General features: G+C 43.1%; 1 protein-coding gene and 1 pseudogene across 2 annotated transcripts in view; one reads left to right on the top strand and one right to left on the bottom strand.

The window, feature by feature from the left end:
• ARSF (arylsulfatase F) overlaps nucleotides 1–20,174 on the bottom strand; it is a 72,494-nt gene that overhangs the window by 46,137 nt on the left and 6,183 nt on the right. The gene's annotated exons all lie outside the window — the stretch shown is intronic.
• Nucleotides 8,089–8,371, top strand: RN7SL578P (RNA, 7SL, cytoplasmic 578, pseudogene; annotated as a pseudogene).

The raw sequence follows: 20,174 nt of genomic DNA, 5'->3' as shown, positions 1-20,174 counted from the left end.
TTCTTGCTGACGCTGAATGTTCTTATCTGGGACGACCACCAAAGCCATTCATCGCACCAGAATTAAGACTGGCTGTTTTGAGCCAGAGCAATCCCATTTGATGTCCCTTGTGTTGCGGTGACCTCATGGTCTATAGCAGTGCCTCAGGGACATCTGTGCTCCCAACTAAAGGTGGTGGGGACGTGGGAGGGAAATGGAAGGTCTTCCCTGTCTTTATATCTTAATAATATTCAACAAGACAAAGTGTGGGGTATAATTTGGAAGATGGCAGGTGTGCTGTTCGTCAACACCCACCCCAAAAGGATGGCTATTATATTAAACACTGATGCAAAGCCAGATAGCAACTCTCCCAGCATTTTAAATAAAGATTTGAGAATATCAGAGGGCATACATAACCCTCTCTAAACCAAACACCACCTTGTGAGATGGAACGCTCCATGAAACATGCTGTTGTATGATTCTATAAACTCTAGAAACCAGATTTTGTTTTGTTTTGTTTATGAGACTGGTTGTCTCTCTGTTACCCAGGCTGGAGTAAAATTATGGTGATCACAGCTCACTGCAGCCTCGACTTCCAGGCTCGAGTGATCCTCCTGCTTCAGCCTCCCGAATAGCTGGGACTACAGGCACCCACTAGTCCATGGATAATTTTTGTATTTTTACATAATCTCACTATGTTGCCCAGGCTGGTCTCAAACTCCTGGGCTCAAGCAATCCTCCCATCTCGGCCTCCCAAAGTGCTGGGATTATAGGCGAGAGTCACTGCGCCCAGCCTGGAAACCAGATCTTGCATTAGACCAGAGATGCAGATTTCTTCAGGTAAATGTACCTGGAGAGGAATTTTGAACTGGAATTGTCTAAAAACACCAAAATAATATATGTTAAGAAGATGTGAACTTATTCCCTAAAATGAAAATTTACATATAAAGGGCATGTGCATTTTTTTTTTTTTTTGAGACAGAGTCTCACTCTGTTGCCGAAGCTGGAGTGCAGCAGCACAATTTCAGCTCACTAAAATCTCTGCCTCCTGGTCTTAAACGATTTTCCTGTCTCGGCCTCCTGAGTAGCTGGAATTACAGGCACCTGCCACCATGACTGGCCAATTTTTTTTCTCCTGATTTTATTTTATTTATTTATTTATTTATTTATTTATTTTTATTATACTTTAAGTTCTAGGGTACATGTGCACAACATGCAGGCTCGTTACATAGGTATACATGTGCCATGCTGGCCCGCTGCATCCATCAACCCGTCATTTACATTAGGTATCTCTCCCAATGCTATCCCTCCCCCAACCCCCCACCCCACAACAGGCCCGGTGTGTGATGTCCCCCACCCTGTGTCCAAGTGTTCTCATTGTTCAATTACCACCTATGAGTGAGAACATGCAGTGTTTGGTTTTCTGTCCTTGTGATAGTTTGCTCAGAATGATGGTTTCCAGCTTCATCCATGTCCCTGCAAAGGACATTAACTTATCATTTTTTATGGCTGCATAGTATTCCATGGTGTCTATGTGCCAGGTTTTCTTAATCCAGTCTATCATTGATGGACATTTGGGTTGGTTCCAAGTCTTTGCTATTGTGAATAGTGTGCATATGTCTTGATAGCAGCATGATTTATAATGCTTTGGGTATATACCCAGTAATGGGATTACTGGGTCAAATGGTATTGCTAGCTCTAGATCCTTGAGGAATTGCCACACTGTCTTCCACAATGGTTGAACTAGTTTACACTCCCGCCAACAGTGTAAAAGTGTTCCTATTTCTCCACATCCTCTCCAGGATCTGTTGTTTCCTGACTTTTTAATGATCGCCATTCTAACTGGTGTGAGATGGTATCTCAGTGTGGTTTTGATTTGCATTTCTCTGATGGCCAGTGATGGTGAGCATTTTTTCATGTGTCTTTTGGCTGCATAAATGTCTTCTTTTGAGAAGTGTCTGTTCATATCCTTTGCCCACTTTTTGATGGGGTTGTTTGTTTTTTTCTTGTAAATTTGTTTATGTTCTTTGTAGATTTTGGATATTAGCCCTTTGTCAGATGGGTACACTGCAAAAATTTTCTCCCATTCTGTAGGTTGCCTGTTCACTCTGATGGTAGTTTCTTTTGCTGTGCAGAAGCTCTTTAGTTTAATTAGATCCCATTTGTCTATTTTGGCTTTTGTTGCCATTGCTTTTGTTGTTTTAGTCATGAAGTCCTTGCCCATGCCTATGTCCTGAATGGTATTGCCTAGGTTTTCTTCTAGGGTTTTTATGGTTTAGGTCTAACATGTAAGTCTTTAATCCATCTTGAATTAATTTTGTATAAAGTGTAAGGAAGGGATCCAGTTTCAACTTTCTACATATGACTAGCCAGTTTTCCCAGCACCATTTATTAAATAGGGAATCTTTTCCCCATTTCTGGTTTTTGTCAGGTTTGTCAAAGATCAGATGGTGGTAGATGTATGGTGTTATTTCTGAGGCCTCTGTTCTGTTCCATTGGTCTATATCTCTGTTTTGGTATGAGTACCATGCTGTTTTGGTTACTGTAGCCTTGTAGTATAGTTTGAAGTCAGGTAGCATGGTGCCTCCGGCTTTGTTCTTTTTGCTTAGGATTGACCTGGCAATCTGGGCTCTTTTTTGGTTCCATATGAACTTTAAAGTCGTTTTTCCCAATTCTGTGAAGAAAGTCATTGGTAGCTTGATGGAGATGACATTGAATCTATAAATTACCTTGGGCAGTATGGCCATTTTCACAATATTGATTCTTCCTATCCATGAGCATGGAATGTTCTTCCATTTGTTTGTGTCATTTTATTTCGTTGAGCAGTGGTTTGTAGTTCTCCTTGAAGAGGTCCTTCACATCCCTTGTAAGTTGGATTCCTAGGTATTTTATTCTCTTTGTAGCAATTGTGAATGGGAGTTCACTCATGATTTGGCTGTCTGTTTGTCTGTTATTGGTGTACAGGAATGCTTGTGATTTTTGCACATTGATTTTGTATCCTGAGACTTTGCTGAAGTTGCTTATCAGCTTAAGGAGATTTTGGGCTGAGACGATGGGGTTTTCTAAATATACAATCATGTCATCTGCAAACAGGGACAATTCGACTTCCTCTTTTCCTAATTGAAAACCCTTTCTTTCTTTCTCTTGCCTGATTGCCCTGACCAGAACTTCCAACACTATGTTGAATAGGAGTGGTGAAAGAGAGCATCCCTGTCTTGTGCCAGTTTTCAAAGGGAATGCTTCCAGTTTTTGCCCATTCAGTATGATATTGGCTGTGAGTTTGTCATAAATAGCTCTTATTATTTTGAGATACGTCCCATCAATACCTAGTTTATTGAGAGTTTTTAGCATGAAGGGCTGCTGAATTTTATCAAAGGCCTTTTCTGCATCTATTGAGATAATCATGTGGTTTTTGTTGATGGTTCTGTTTATGTGATGGATTATGTTTACTGATTTGCATATGTTGAACCAGCCTTGCATCCCAGGGATGAAGCCAACTTGACCATGATGGATAAGCTTTTCGATGTGCTGCTGGATTTGGTTTGCCAGTATTTTATTGAGGATTTTTGCACTGATGTTCATCAGGGATATTGATCTAAAATTCTCTTTTTTTGTTGTGTCTCTGCCAGGCTTTGGTATCAGGATGATGTTGGCCTCATAAAATGAGTTAGGGAGGATTCCCTCTTTTTCTATTGATTGGAATAGTTTCAGAAGTAATGGTACCAGCTCCTCTTTGTACCTCTGGTAGAATTTGGCTGTGAATCCATCTGGTCCTGGACTTTTTTTGGTTGGTAGGCTATTAATTATTGCCTCAATTTCAGAGCCTGTTATTGGTCTATTCAGAGGTTCAATTTCTTCCTGGTTTAGTCTTGGGAGGGTGTATGTGTCCAGAAATTTATCCATTTCTTCTAGATTTTCTAGTTCATTTGCATAGAGGTGTTTATAGTATTCTCTCATGGTAGTTTGTATTTCTGTGGGATTGGTGGTGATATCCCCTTTATCATTTTTTATTGCATCTATTTGATTCTTCTCTCTTTTCTTCTTTATTAGTGTTGTTAGCGGCCTATCAATTTTGTTGATCTTTTCAAAAAACCAACTCCTGGATTCATTGATTTTTTTGAAGGGTTTTTTGTGTCTCTATCTCCTTCAGCTCTGCCCTGATCTTAGTTATTTCTTGCCTTCTGCTAGCTTTTGAATGTGTTTGCTCTTGCTTCTCTAGTTCTTTTCATTGTGATGTTAGGGTGTTGATTTTAGATATTTCCTGCTTTCTTCTGTGGGCATTTAGTGCTATAAATTTCCCTCTACACACTGTTTTAAATGTGTCCCAGAGATTCTGGTATGTTGTGTCTTTGTTCTCATTGGTTTCAAAGAACATATTTATTTCTGCCTTCATTTCGTTATTTACCCAGTAGTCATTCAGGAGCAGGTTGTTCAGTTTCCATGTAGTTGAGCAGTTTTGAGTGAGTTTCTTAATCCTGAGTTCTAATTTGATTGCACTGTGGTCTGAGAGACAGTTTGTTGTGATTTCTGTTCTTTTACATTTGCTGAGGAGTGCTTTACTTCCAACTATGTGGTCAATTTTTGAATAAGTGTGATGTGGTGCTGAGAAGAATGTATATTCTGTTGATTTGGGGTGGAGAGTTCTGTAGATGTCTATTAGGTCCACTTGGTGCAGAGCTGAATTCAAGTACTGGATATCCTTGTTAACCTTCTGTCTCGTTGATCTGTCTAATATTGACAGTGGGGTGTTAAAGTCTCCCATTATTATTGTGTGGAAGTCTAAGTCTCTTTGTAGGTCTCTAAGGACTCCCTTTATGAATCTGGGTGCTCCTGTATTGGGTGCATATATATTTAGGATAGTTAGGTCTTCTTGTTGAATTGATCCCTTTACCATTATGTAACGGCCTTCTTTCTCTCTTTTGATCTCTGTTGGTTTAAAGTCTGTTTTATCAGAGACTAGGATTGTAACCTCTGCTTTTTTTTTGCTTTCCATTTGCTTGGTAGATCTTCCTCCATCCCTTTATTTTGAGCCTACATGTGTCTCTGCACATGAGATGGGTCTCCTGAATACAGCACACTGTTGGGTCTTGACTCTATCCAATTTGCCAGTCTGTGTCTTTTAATCAGGGCAGTTAACCCATTTACATTTAAGGTTAATATTGTTAGGTGTGAATTTGATCCTGTCATTATGATGTTAGCTGGTTATTTTGCTCGTTAGTTGATGCAGTTTCTTCCTAGCATCGATGGTCTTTACAATTTGGCATGTTTTTGCAGTGGCTGGTACTGGTTGTTCCTTTCCATGTTTAGTGCTTCCTCCAGGAGCTCTCGTAGGGCAGGCCTGGTGGTGACAAAATCTCTCAGCATTTGCTTGTCTGTAAAGGATTTTATTTCTCCTTCACTTGTGAAGCTTAGTATGGCTGGATATGAAATTCTGGATTGAAAATTCTTTTCTTTAAGAATGTTGAACATTGGCCCCCACTCTCTTCTGGCTTGTAGAGTTTCTGCCGAGAGATCCACTGTTAGTCTGATGGGCTTCCCTTTGTGGGTAACCCGACCTTTCTCTCTGGCTGCCCTTAACATTTTTTCCTTCATTTCAACTTTGGTGAATCTGACAATTATGTGTCTTCTCGAGGAGTATCTTTGTGGCTTTCTCTATATTTCCTGAATTTGAATGTTGGCCTGCCTTGCTAGGTTGGGGAAGTTCTCCTGGATAATATCCTGATGAGTGTTTTCCAACTTGGTTCCATTCTCCCTGTCACTTTCAGGTACACCAATCAGATGTAGATTTGGTCTTTTCACATAGTCCCATATCTCTTGGAGGCTTTGTTCATTTCTTTTTACTCTTTTTTCTCTAAACTTCTCTTATCACTTTATTTCATTCATTTGATCTTCAATCACTGATACCCTTTCTTCCACTTGATTGAATCGGCTATTGAAGCTTGGGCATGCATCACGTAGCTCTTATGCTGTGGTTTTCAGCTCCGTCAGGTCATTTAAGGTCTTCTCTACACTATTTATTCTAGTTAGCTGTTCGTCTAATCTTTTTTCAAGGTTTTTAGCGTCCTTGCGATGGGTTTGAACATTTCCTTTAGCTCGGAGAAGTTTGTTATTACCGACCTTCTGAAGCCTACTTCTGTCAGCTCGTCAAAGTCATTCTCCATCCAGCTTTCTTCCGTTGCTCGTGAGGAGCTGCAACCCTTTGGAGGAGAAGAGGCACTCTGGTTTTTAGAATTTTCAGCTTTTCTGCTCTGGTTTCTCTCCATCTTTGTGGTTTTACCTACCTTTTGTCTTTGATGCTGGTGACCTACAGATGGAGTTTTGGTGTAGATGTCCTTTTTGTTGATGTTGATGCTATTCCTTTCTGTTTGTTAGTTTTCCTTCTGACAGTCAGATCCCTCACCTGCAGGTCTGTTGGAGTTTGCTGGAGGTCCACTCCAGACCCTGTTTGCCTGGATATCACCAGTGGAGGCTGCAGAACAGCAAATATTGCAGAACAGCAAATATTGCTGCCTGATCCTTCCTCTGGAAGCTTTGTCCCAGAGGGGCACCACCTGTATGAGTTGTCAGTTGGCCCCTACTGGGAGGTGTCTCCCAGTTAGGCTACAAGGGGGTCAGGGACCCACTTGAGGAGGCAGTCTGTCCATTCTAAGACCTCAAACACCATGCTGGGAGCACCACTGCTCTCTTCAGAGCTGTCAGACAGGGACGTTTAAGTCTGCAGAAGTTTCTGCTGCCTTTTGTTCAGCTATACCCTGCCCCCAGAGGTGGAATCTACAGAGGCAGTAGGCCTTGCTGAGCTGCAGTGGGCTCTGCCCAGTTCGAGCTTCCCTGGCCACATTGTTTACCTACTCAAGCCTCAGCAATGTTGGATGCCCACCCCCCCAGCCAGGCTGCTGCCTCACAGTTCAATCTCAGACTGCTGTGCTAGCAGTGAGCAAGGCTCTGTGGGAGTGGGAACTGCCGAGCCAGGTGCAGGATATAATCTCCTGGTGTGCTCTTTGCTAAGACCATTGGAAAAGTGCAGTATGTGGGCGAGAGTGTCCCAGTTTTCCAGGTACAGTCTGTCACAGCTTCCTTGGCTAGGAAAGGGAAATCCTCTGACACTTCCCAGGTGAGGCAATGCCCTGCCCTGTTTCGGCTTGCCCTCTGTGGGCTGCACCCACTGTCCAACCAGTCCCAATTAGATGAACAAGATACCTCAGTTGGAAATGCAGAAATCACCCGTTTTCTGTGTTGATCACGCTGGGAGCTGTAGACCGGAGCTGTTTCTATTTGGCCATCTTGGAATGGAATCCCAATTTTTGTATTTTTAGTAGAGACGGGGTTTCACCATGTTGGTCAGGCTGGTCTCAAACTCCTGATCTCAGGTGATCCACCCACCCCAGCCTCCCAAAGTGCTGGGATTACAAGCATGAGCCACCGTGCCTGGCCGCATTTTCAATCCAAACAATAAAATACAAAGAATAAAAGTGACTGTAATTCAGATTCCCATGGCAGCTCCATGACCATCGGTTTGCAGTCTCATTGGTGAATTAGTTAAGTGACTCTGCTTTCTACAGATTCCTCTCCTCCCAGCTTCCAGGACTCTCTCAATTCATTCTGTTTCTCCATGGAATAAGTATTCACTTTGAGGACTTCTTTCAGAATCCCTACTTATAATCACAGAAAGGTTTTCCACCTTCATGCAACTGCTCATGGTAAAATCTTGGTTTCTAAAGAATTTACTAATCTCTTTTTTTCTTTTTCTTTTAGAGACAGGGTCTCATTCTGTCACCCAAGTTGGAGTGCACTGGTGTGATAAGAGCTCGCTGCAGCCTCAGCCTCCTAAGCTCGAAAGATCCTCCAGTCTCAGCCTCTGGAGTGGCTGGAACTACAGGCATGCACCACTGCACCTGGGTAATTTCTTTATTTTCTATTTTTTTGTAGAGACAAGGTCTCCCTATATTGCCCAGGCTGGTTTTGAACTCCTGGCCTCAAAGAATCCTCCTGCCTTGGCCTCATGAAGCACTGTGATTATAGGTGTGAGCCATCATGCCCAGCCTAGATTTACTGATCTTGATATGTTCTGCCTTTTCTGACTCCCTTTTATGTTGACAAAAACAGCAAGTAGCCTGCCTGTGGTCCCGGCTACTCAGGAGACTGAGGTGGGGGATCGCTTCGGCCCAGAAGTTCTGGGCTATGGTGCGCTAGGCTGATCAAGTATCTGCACTACGTTCAGCACCAGCTTGGTGACCTCCCAGGAGCAGAAGACCACCAGGCTGCCTAAGGCCTGGTGAACCACCCTAAGTCACAAATGCAGCAGGTCAAAACTCTCGTGCTGATAGTGGTGGAATCACATGTCTGAATAGCCACTGTACTCCAGCCTGGGCAACACAGCAAGACCCTATCTCCTAAAAAAAGAAAAAGAAAAAACAGACAGTAACATAGCCACACTTAGCCAAATTCTAAACTATGGTTCATGCTACCTAATCAGTCGTGTCTATTTAATGCAATAATGCCATTGCACACAACTGTCATAAGGGCAGGAAAAGAAAACACTAGAACACGAAATGAAAAGGAACAAACCTTTGACCAAACCAAGTGTTGTTTCCTGAGCTGTGTAAGTCAAAGACAGTCCTATTACAGGTCATGATTTGCAATGTTCTGCTGTCCATTGAGTGGTTGTCGGGGTAAGGTGCATGTGTCTGACTTCACCCAAATTGTTCAGAAATGGCACTTGCCTGCCATCTCTGAAAGACATAGATGAATCTTAATACAGTCCTTGTACATAGCTTTTCTATGTATTTTTTTCCAGTGGGACAAGAAACACATGGCAGACTTTACTGTCATGCTGGGTATAGTGACCCAGTGAAGATAAAGCTCCCCTAAGGAAATTGATAGCATGTCTATTTTATCAAAGTTTGCATTTCTTTCAAAGGGTAGCATCTGGCCAGGAAATATAATGTCCCCTCTTCTAGGAAATAAAGTGAAATTGTAATAAATGCAATGTTTATCATCGACACGTCTACATTCCTGAAATTCTTGGAGTTCACTTTTCTCATGGGTGAAATCAGGATTGGCGTGTTATCTGTGCATAGCCTTTGATGTAAAGATGACGACACTCCCTAGCCACATTCCCTAGACGATTTCAGCTGCCCCCTAATAAGACGTTCTGCCTGTTACTCTTCAGAATTATGGGATGAAGAGGGCTCCATAAACCATCTCACCGAAAGAGAATCAGAACCACCTACTCTTCCAGGAGCTGAAGAGAGCTTTTAAGCAGATCACAGATGACCAAGTGTCCTAGTAATGTCAGAGTTTCTGGGGAAAAAAACGCTAATAAAGAGCAAAAGTGCTCCCTGCATTTCTGATGCAACAGATAATTCTTGCTGAAGCAAAGCAAAACAAACAAACTTTTTTTTGCTTCTCATTAATATAAATTTTGCTTAACAATATTCAGCTCCAGAGAAGATATGACACATGTCATTTTGCAATAAGCAACCTGCTAGGGTGTTTTTTATGAAAAAATATCCAGGGATCTATCAAATGATGGGCAACCGACTCTTTTACCCCAAAGCCGAAGTTCATTTGTTCATGGAATATTTATAAAATCCCACCTGAGCATCTGACTTCCAGGGTAGACTTTGGAGTCACAATGAATGGAATCAGAATAGCTCCTCTCTCAGCAGAGAGGATCAGTGTCAGTCGTGGCTATTAAAAAGTTCAATAAAGTGTCACAGACAACAAGCTTAATGTATCCTGGGTTGAAACAGACACAGGTTAGAAAGTGAAAGGAATTCTACCTAGGGTGATCGGAAGAGAATCATAGAAAAAGGTCAATGTTCTCCTGTTTTCTAATAAAGCAGTCGGCCTGTCTACAAGAAAATTGAGTGAAACAGATTTTGTTTAAGATTGAGATAAAGTCAGCACTGCCTCCATCTGTTTCAGGTTGGGTGGAGAGGGTCATTCTCTTCAACAAGATGTTGTTTTGATACGATCCAATATGTTCAATTCTTTTAAATGTCTAGACTAGACATTGAAATTAAGAATGATGCTTCGTCCAGGAGTGGTGGCTCATGCCTGGAATCTCACCACTTTGGGAGTTGAGGCAAGCAGATGGCTTGAGCCCAGGAGTTCGAGACCAGCCTGGCCAACAGGGCGAAACGCCGTCTCTACTAAAAATATAAAAATTAGCCAGGTGTGGTGGCACATGACTGTAATCCCAACTACTCAGGAGGCTGAGACAGGAGAATCACTTGAACCCGGGAGGCAGAGGTTGCAGTGAGCCGAGATAGCGCCACTGTGCTCCAGCCTGGGTGACAGAGGGAACTTCATTTCCAAAAAAAAAAAAAAAAAATAGGAATGATGGTGCGACCCGGCGCAGTGGCTCACGCCTGTAATCCCAACACCTTGAGAGGTTGAGACAGGCAGATTGATTGAGCCTGGGAGTTTGAGACCAGCCTGGGCAACTAGTGAGACCCTGTCTCTACAAAAAATATTTTACAAAAATTATCCAGGCACGGTGGCACACACCTGTGGTCCCAGTTACTCAGGAGGCTGAGGTGGGAGGATTGCTTCAGCTAAAGGGTTTGAGGCTGCAATGAGCCGTATCGTAATTCCACCACTGTTCTACAGCCCGGGCAACAGAGCAAGATCCCATCTCGAAAAAAATTTTTTTTAATTAAAAATTTAAGACAAAAAGAATGATGCCGCATTTCTTTTTCAAACCTTAAATCCAAGTAGGTTATTAGGGAGGTAATTGAGGGAGCATTGGTCAGGGAAAGAGGAAGAGAGACAGGGAAAGGCAGGAAGCCAGTAGAGGTTGTACTTATGAAGCAGCTTGCCACTGGGCTATTGAAGCTGAGTGCTGTGCAGAAACACTGAGATTCAACGACAGACCCTCAGAATTATCCAACCCAGGGACGATGAAGATGAGATATTTATCCTAGGATTCCTTTTCATCCTTCTGTCCCAGCACCTTTATTTGGTCTTCCACGCAGGGGCTGACAGCAGAGTCAATAGGACAACTTTGCCATGTGCTATGACGGCTAGTACCATGGGGCCATAAGCTGTCTGCAGACAGCATTCACCATATATACGTATTTCTGTGTTAACTTGGAGGTTTCCTTGATCATTCTTTATATTTCCTGACTGGTTGACTTGAACAAGAGGGATAAGGGGAAGCAGAAACCAGGCAATCTTGTCCAGCAATAGTTTGAAATAGGCATAGTTTACTCCCAAAAGTAGGAATTGGGGACAATATTAGATTTTTTTTTTTTTTTTTTTTTTTGAAATGGAGTTTTGCTCTTGTTGCCCAGGCTGGAGTGCAGTGGCGCGATCTGGGCTCACTGCAACCTCCGCCTCCCAGGTTCAAGTGATACTCTTGCCTCAGCCTTCCGAGTAGCTGGGATTACAGGCATGTGCCACCATGCTCGGCTAATTATGTATTTTTAGTAGAGACGGGGTTTCTCCATGTTGTTCAGGCTGGTCTCGAACTCCTGACCTCAGGTGATCTGCCCGTCTTGGCCTCCCAAAGTGCTGGGATTACAGGCATGAGTCACTGCGCCCGGCCAAAGATTGGATTTTAAGTGCAGTTTTGGCTGGATGTGGTGGCTCATGCCTGTAATCCCAGCACTTTTGGGAGGCTGAAGTGGGTAGATCGCCTGAGGTCAGGAGTTCAAGACCAGCCCACCAATATGGTGAAACCCTGTCTCTACTAAATACAAAAAATATTAGCCAGGCGTAGTGGCACATGCCTGTAATCCTAGCTACTCGGGAGGCTGAGGCAGGAGAATCGCTTGAACCTGGGAGGCGGAGATTGCAGTGAGCCGAGATCGTGCCGTTGCACTCCAGCCTGGGCAACAACAGCAAAACTCTACCAAAAAAAAAAAAAAGAGAGCAGTTTCATGCATCCATCCTAAAGGTTGGATTTATTTCCACCTTATCTAAACTTTCATGAATGCTTAGCGATTTGAATTCCATAGAGAAAAGTAGACAGCCCTAAAAGACTTCATGGGTTTTAAGAGGACACTTAGGTGCGGGGGCTCACACCTGTCATCCCAGTACTGTGGGAGGTCAAGGCAAGACGATGGTTTGAGACAAGGAGTTTGAAACCAGTCTGGACCACATAGTGAGACTCTCCCCCTGTTTCAAGTAATGATAATAACAATTAATAATAATAATAATAATTGAGGAGGCTGATTGTAGGCTGCAAATTTTTTAATTAAAAAAAAGTCATTGTGGAGCCACATTCCTGAGGAAAGGCATTTGTAAGAAGCCTGTGAGGAGACACCCTGAGAACCGGGGGTGATGTCCCTTCAGGAAGAAAAGAACAGATCGTCAATGCTGGGACCTTGGAGGTAGTAATAGAGAATTTGGATTTTATCTGACAGTGAAGGAGAGCTGCCCCATGATTTATGACCAAGGTCCATCCAGTCTGGCTTGTGTTTCAATATCAATACACTTGACCAAGTACAGCACACACTGTAAAGTGAGTGTGCAGCTGGGACCAGGAACAGGCATTCTTTCTTGAGAAACTACAGTGTGTCTCCGAAAAAAAGTCCAGTAGGTAGGCTGGGTGCAGTGGCTCATGCCTGTAATCCCAGCACTTTGGAAGGCCGAGGCAGGTGGATCACCTGAGGTCAGGAGTTCAAGACCAGCCTGGCCAACATGGTGAAACCCTGTCTCTACTAAAAATACAAAAATTAGCCGGGTGTGGTGGTGGGCACCTGTAATCCCAGCTACTTGGGAGGCTGAGGCAGGAAAATCGCTTGAACCTGGGAGGTGGAGGTTGCAGTAAACCAAGATCACACCATTGCACTCTAGCCTGAATGACAAGAACGAAACTCCACCTCAAAAAAAAAAAAAAAAAAAATTACCCAGGCGTGGTGGCATGCACCTGTGGTCCGGAAGGCTGAGGCAAGAGAATCGCTTGAACTCAGGAGGTGGAGGTTGCAGTGAGCCGCAATCATGCCACTGCACCCCAGCCTGGGCGACAAGAGTGAAACTCTGTCTCAAAAAATAAATAAATAAAATAAAAATACATTACAAGTAGTGACAAGCTTAGGGCTAAGGATGCTGCAGGGTAATAGCTTGATAGTTTTGTAAATCTGCCCAAATTTAAAAATTAAGTTGTAATTAGCCAGGCATGGTGGCACATGCCTGTAATCCCAGCTACTCGGGAGGCTGAGGCACTAGAATTGCTTGAATTTGGGAGGCAGAGTTTGCAGTGAGCTGAGATCACACCACTGTACTTCACCCCGGGCAACAGAGTGAGACTGTCTCAAAAAAAAAAAAAAAAAAAAGTTGTGGATACAGCATTCACACCTGCTGAACATTTATTTTGACCAAGAAATGATCTCTCAATGTACAACTGCAAATCAAGGAAGTTCAAATTATCGGAGGACATGTCAGAAATTCTCCCTAAATAAAACGTCTGAAAAAGTGTATTTCCAAATGTGGTCCATCTTACCTACAGTGCCCTTCCCTGGAATTTAATATGCAACTCATTATGAATGTTGGGAGCTTTCTCACAATGTCAGGCTAGTTCCTGGGCATGGTTCCCAGGAAACCGATTTTCTGCCATTGCCTCACCCCATGCCAGAACTTGCTAATTTGCAGCCTGTTCACTTCCTCCTGATTTGCATCTGCTAATTCTGGGGTAGCAACCTCACCCAGTCTTTCTCAGCAATAATAATCAAGAAAATAATTTCCTTGATAGACAAGTTAGATAAGCAGGATGAACTTCAGAGAGACAGGTTCTTTAAAACATTCCTAGATGCCTTCTGTGTGCAATAACAATAACTGTAAAACATTTTTAGTGTGTGATAGGTGTAAAAGGATTGCAGGCGTATGCATAAAAAAAGGTAGCTGCAATCAGGGAGATAGGTTTTATACTGTTTTATTTTGACTTCTTTGAATGTATCTTTTTTTTTTTTTTTTTGAGACAGGGTCTCACTGTCACCCACACTAGAGTGCAGTGGTGTGATCACAGCTCACTGCAGCCTCAACTCCTGGACTCAAGTGATCCTCCTGCCTCAGCCTCCCAACGTATTGTGATTACAGATGTGACTGACCGTGCCCAGGCTGAATGTATCATTTTTACAGTAGAATATAATTTGAGCTGTTTCTTTTTAATCAGTGATTTCAAAAACTATAAAAGAACCTCTGTTGGTAATAGAAGAAAATTACACCCATGCTTAAGATAGGATATTTAGGCCTATACTTAAAGAATCAAAGCTTTTTGGCCAAAGTGGACTAGCAAAGCCAAAATATGAAGGACATGCAGAAAAAATAAATGAAGTATTGCAAGTGTTTGAATTTGACAAAATATAGGTGAAAGTACTACATTGCTGAAAACTAAAATGAATGCTTAAATACAGCGAGGCATAGACCCTGTCATGGGAGATAGGTTATACAGAGTTATGCATTTGCTTTTTCTTAGCAGAAGCTCGGTGTTATAACAAGTGCAGTTGACAAGGAAGCTTCATTTTATAAGGACGCCACTGGAATAGAAAATCTCAGAGGTGACTCAACAGTAAGTGATTAAAATAAAATTAGTTAAAAATAATCTGATGGGAGACAATAGAATACAAGTTTTTTTTTGTTTTTTGTTGTTCTTTTTGTTGTTGTTGTTGTTTTGAGACAGCATCTCGCTTGGTTGCCCAGGCTGGAGTGCAGTGGTATAATCTTGGCTCACTGCAACCTCCAGCTCCTGAGCTCAAGCAATCCTCCCACCTCAGCCCCCCAAGTAGATGTGATTACAGGTGTTCACCACCACACCCAGCTAATTTTTTTATTTTTTGTAGAGACAAGGTCTCGCTATGCTGCCCAGGCTGGTCTTGAACTTCTTGGCTCAAGCTATCCTTGGCCTTGGGCTCTCAAAATGCTATGATTACAGGAGTGAGCCACCATGCCTGGCCAAATTTTTAACCTCAGTCAAGCAATAAAGGAAAGTGTACACCATCTCCAACTTTGCCACTTTTTTCCTAAGAGATAAAAATGAACACACTAATAACTTTGGAAGGCAAAAATCTTCTCACAGTTACAGAGTCAGTCTGAAGAGGAAAAAGAAGCTCCCTCCTTGTATATTATCTTTGCATTCCCCAGGTAGCAGGTCCTACATGAACCATTTACGTTTCATCACGGAACTCTTTTGGACACCATTATTTCCATTAGCTTCGGTTAACATCCCATAGCAAGAGTGTATGCCTCTGCTGATGAAAAGGGTCAAACTCTGTAAACTATTCTAAGATATTTATTCTGAGCCAAATATGAGTGACTACTGGCCCATAGCACAGCCCTCAGGAGATCCTGAGAACATGTGCTCAGGGTTGTTGAGTTACAGATTGGCTTTATGCATTTTAGGGAGACATAAGACACCCCTCAATACATGTAAGATGGACATTGGTTCAGCCAGGAAAGGTGACACACTTCAAAGTGGGGGCTTGCAGGTCATAGATAGATGCATAGATTTTCTCACTGGAAATCGGTAGAAAGAGTTCAGTTATTGTTACAGTAGGTAGCTAGTCAGGCATGAGCAAGGCAGGAAAGGCTCTCCCCAGCCCCACCAGGAATGTCAGGCGAGCATCAGGCGGTTATTAAACTGTCTCTCTAAAATAATAATTGGTCACAGTCAGCACCAGGGAAAGGCCGTCTCCCAGTAAATAGAAAACACCTAAAACTGGTGGTCAGCAGTTTCCCAATACGATCTCAGGAGGTGAGTGAGTGGGCTCAAGCATGCACACTGAGAAGCAAAACGGTGGAGTTTAACTGGTCTATAACCTTCTAGGAACATTCAGCTGGTAAGGGAAGAACGCCTCAAGTGAGCATGCGTCCAACTCCAGTAAACACACTGCGCATGCTCCCCTCCCAAGTGCTGGCAGGCCACTGTGCATGTGGACAGCCCAACCCCAAGGGAAGACTCAGCGGAGAAGGGACACAAGACTCCAGAAGCATGCCAACCTATAAAACCCCAAGTCTAAAGGTCAACCATACACTTGATCTCTTAGGTCAGCTACTTGGCCATCTTCCAAGTGTACTTTCCTTCTTTTCATTCCTGCTCTAAAACTTTTTTTTTTTTTTTTTGAGACAGAGTTTCGCTCTTGTTGCCCAGGCTGGAGTGCAATGGCATGATCTCTGCTCACTGCAACCTCTGCCTCCTGGGTTCAAGCGATTCTCCTGCCTCAGCCTCCTGAGTAGCTGGGATTACAGGTGCGTGCCACGACGCCCAGCAAATTTTTCTGTATTTTTAGTAGAGACGGGGTTTCACCATGTTGGCCAGCCTGGTCTCGAACTCCTGACCTCAGATGATCCGCCTGCCTTGGCCTCCCAAAGTTCTGGGATTACAGGCTTGAGCCACCATGCCCAGCCTCAATTTTTCTTAAACTTCTCCAATCTGAGGCAAATGAAGAAAACTGGCATGGGGCCCCTTCATGTTGGGGGACCAGTTGGGGCTCCCTGTGGCCCACCCAACCTTTGATCATGTTGTAAAGTCTTTTGTTTTAACTCCATCAATTTTCCTTTTCTTTTATTTCTTAACAATTATCTAAAGATTCCAGCCTGCCCAACATTGTGAAACTTCGTCTCTACTAAAAATACAAAAAAATTAGCTGGGCGTGGTGGCAGGTGCCTGTAATCCCAGCTACTCAGGAGGTTGAGGCAGGAGAATCACTTGAACCTGGGAGGTGGGGTTGCAGTGAGCCAAGATGGCACCATTGCATGTCAGCCTGGGCAACAAGAGCGAAACTCCATCTCAAAAAAAGAAAAATTAATAATAATAACAAAATAATTATCTAAAGATTTCCACCCTTCTGGCATGAGCCCTTTGACTCACTTTTCCCTTCCCTGTTTTTGTTTGTTAATTTATTAATTTTGTTTGTTAATTAGTGAAAGGAAACCAAAATCCCCAAGCCAAGGGGAAAAGGCAAGCTGGGAACTGCATCAGAAAAACCTGCCTCCCATTTTCTCCTAAATAAGACAGCTATGGAGACAAAAACAAACAAACAAACAAACAAAACAAAACAAAAAGCTACATACCTCTTTCATAATTTGCCCACAAAGAAATTTTTTGTGGACCTCAAGATCTTTACCCTAAAACAGTTCTGTTCAATTTCACCTTGGCTTATCTTCACAGGTGTGGGTCAAAGGAGAGACAGAAGTGAAAGTCAGCCCTCTCTGCTCACCTGAGACAAATGCATATCTGATAGATTCCCCTGCCCTATTGTTTACGCAAACTTGCAGATTCACTGAACAGGCATCAGTCACTATTCCTCTACCCACCACCCCCACCCCCCAACCTCCGTCACATGTAAATTGTGTATTCTGATCAAAGACCGAAAAGAATGCAACCTTCTGTGTCTTGTCCATCCATGAGCTGGAATCCCCCACTTTGAGTTATCTCACCTTTTTTGAATGGAAACAATGTACGTCTTACATGTATTGATCGATATCTCATGTCTCCCTAAAATGTAGAAAACCAAGCTGTACGCAGACCACATTGGGCGCATGTTCTCAGGATCTCCTGAAGTCTGCGTCACGGGCGGCCATGGTCACTCATATTTGGCTCAGAATAAACCTCTTAAAAAAATTTACAGTTTGTCTCTTCTCGTTGACACCCTAGTCTTTTGGTAGCATCTGTAAGACCCATGAGGGAAAGCTACAACTGCAAATTTGATAAGGTTTCTCAAACCATTGTTTGATTCTGCAAGAGTAATGTCACCTGGGGTGCTCTTGTAGAAGGGGACCCTTGAACCACAACATTTATAGAAATAAACCTTTCCTTTCCAAATTTATGAGCTTCACAGTTCTTCACCTAACATCATTAATACACTGAGAATCTATTGCGAACCCAAAATATCTGAGACAGGTCTCAGTCAATTTAGAAAGTTTATTTTACCAAGGTTGAGAACGTGCACCTGTGACACAGCCTCAGGAAGTCCTGACGACATGTGCCCAAGGTGTTCAGGGCACAGCTTGCTTTTATATATTTTAGGGAGACATGAGACATCAATCAATATGTGTAAGACATACATGGGCTCAGTTCAGTAATTCAGGACAACTTGAAGTGGGAGCTTTCAGATTAGAAGTAGACACGAGACAAAAGGTTACATTCTTTTGAGTCCTTGATCAGCTTTCCACTGAATACACAATTTAGGCTGGCTCCGTGAATCTGTACTTTTACATAAGCAATGAGGCAGAGGAAGTTATCAGATAAGCATTTGTCTCAGGGGAGCCTTGGAAGGATGACTTTGAGTTCCGTCTGTCCTTTGTCCACAAGGAATTTCCTTAAGCACAAATTGTGAGGGGGGTATGTAGCTTCTTATCTTTGTAGCTGTCTTATTTAAGAATCAAATGGGAGGCAGGCTTGCCTGACACAGTTCCCAGCTTGACTTTTCCCTTGGCTTAGTGATTTTGGGGTCCTGAGATTTATTTTCCTTTCACACTATGACCTCGGTGATATAGTTTGACTGTGTCCACACCCAAAGCTCATCTTGAATTGTATCTCCCATAATTCCCATTGTTGTGGGAGGGACCTGGTGGGAGATAATTGAATTCTGGTGGCAGTTTCCTCCATATTATTCTTGTGGTAGTGAATGAGTCTCACGAGATCTGATGGTTTTACAAGGAGAAACTCCTTTCGCTTGGCTCTCTTTCTTTGCCTGCCACCATCCATGTAAGATGTGACTTGTTCCTCCCTGCCCTCCACCATGATCGTGAGGCTTCCCCCACCACGTGGAACTGTAAGTCTAATTACCCCTCTTTCTTTTGTAAATTGCCCAATCTCGGGTATGTCTTTATCAGCAGCATGAAAACGGACTAATACATTGGGTAATGGGCATATTCAGCTGGTGAATATCCCGGTCATCATTAAGCCAATCCCACATGGCTTGCATATGAAGCACATCAGCTGCTTTATCTAGGGTGCTCCACTTGGCATTTTATAGGGAGGGCTGGGCAGTCCCCTTTTCAGGATAAACAGACCTTGTAGTGGTGTTTACCTAGTCCACCAGGCTGGCCATTTCCTCAGGAAAAACTTCCTGTGCATCTGGGTCCCATACACTCATCAGCAAGTGTTTAATAGTGAGTGAGCTGCGGGCCCTGCACCAGCCCAAACATGCTCTTTCTTTCTGTGGCATTTAAAAATTAAGCATATCGGTGGGCAGAGTGGATCACGCCTGTAATCCCAGCACTTTGGGAGGCCAAGGTGGGCAGATCACCTGAGGTCAGGAGTTCAAGAGTAGTCTGGCCAACATGGTGAAATTCCATCTCTACCAAAAAATAGAAAAATTAGCCGGGCATGGTGGCGTGTGCCTGTAATCCCAGCTTCTCAGGAGGCTGAGGTGGGAGAATTACTTGAACCCAGGAGGTGGAGGTTGCGATGAGCTGAGATCATGCCACTGCACTCCAGTCTGGGTGACAGAATGAGACCCTTTCTCAAAAAAAAAAAAATTAAACATACTGTTCTTAAAGTAGTCATTCTTACAACCCATTTTAGAAAAGGGAACTCAGGAAGCTGACGATACCAATCTAGAAGATGAACCAATTCCTTTTCAAGCTTGTCCAATCCACGGCCCGCGGGCCGCACGTGGCTTAGGACAGCTTTGAATGTGGCCCAACACAAATGTGTAAACTTTCTGAAAATGTTACGACATTTTCTTGCCTTTTTTTTTTCTCATCAGCTATCATTAGTGTTTGTGTATTTTATGCATGGCCCAAGACAATTTTTCTTCCAGTGTGGCCCAGGGAAGCCAAAAGATTGAACAGCCCTGTAAATACCCTCTGGGTTTAATAGTTACTTGGTTTTGCCCTTCCTCCACATGTCTATCTTCTTGGTAATCACAGGTCTCAGAGGTAACTTTTGGTTGACGTGGCTTAATTTTTCCTTGTGTAGGAAGCTTTGAGGTCACTGGCCTGATCTGAGACAGACCCACATCTGAGCTTGGTGCTGCCTTCACGCCCAAGGCAGCACTCTTTTACTTTCATTTTAGCAACTACAGAGGCAGTAAGCAAGGGATTGAATAGTTCACTTTTTCCTTATTAATTTGCATTTGCTATATATCCAGTGAACGAAATTCCCTGGGACTATGAGTAGGATCCATCTCTAAATTCCTCTGGTGGCTTTGACCTTTAGTGACTGAAGACAAGCCAGCTGCATCTCCTTACTGATAGAGGAACTAGAAAGAAATTATTCAGGCAGATAGTGAGGGTAAAAGAGT

The sequence above is a fragment of the Homo sapiens genome, chromosome X (genome assembly GCF_000001405.40).
Source record: "Homo sapiens chromosome X, GRCh38.p14 Primary Assembly".
Lineage (NCBI taxonomy): Eukaryota > Metazoa > Chordata > Mammalia > Primates > Hominidae > Homo > Homo sapiens.
This window is presented reverse-complemented; position numbering and strand designations above follow the sequence as displayed.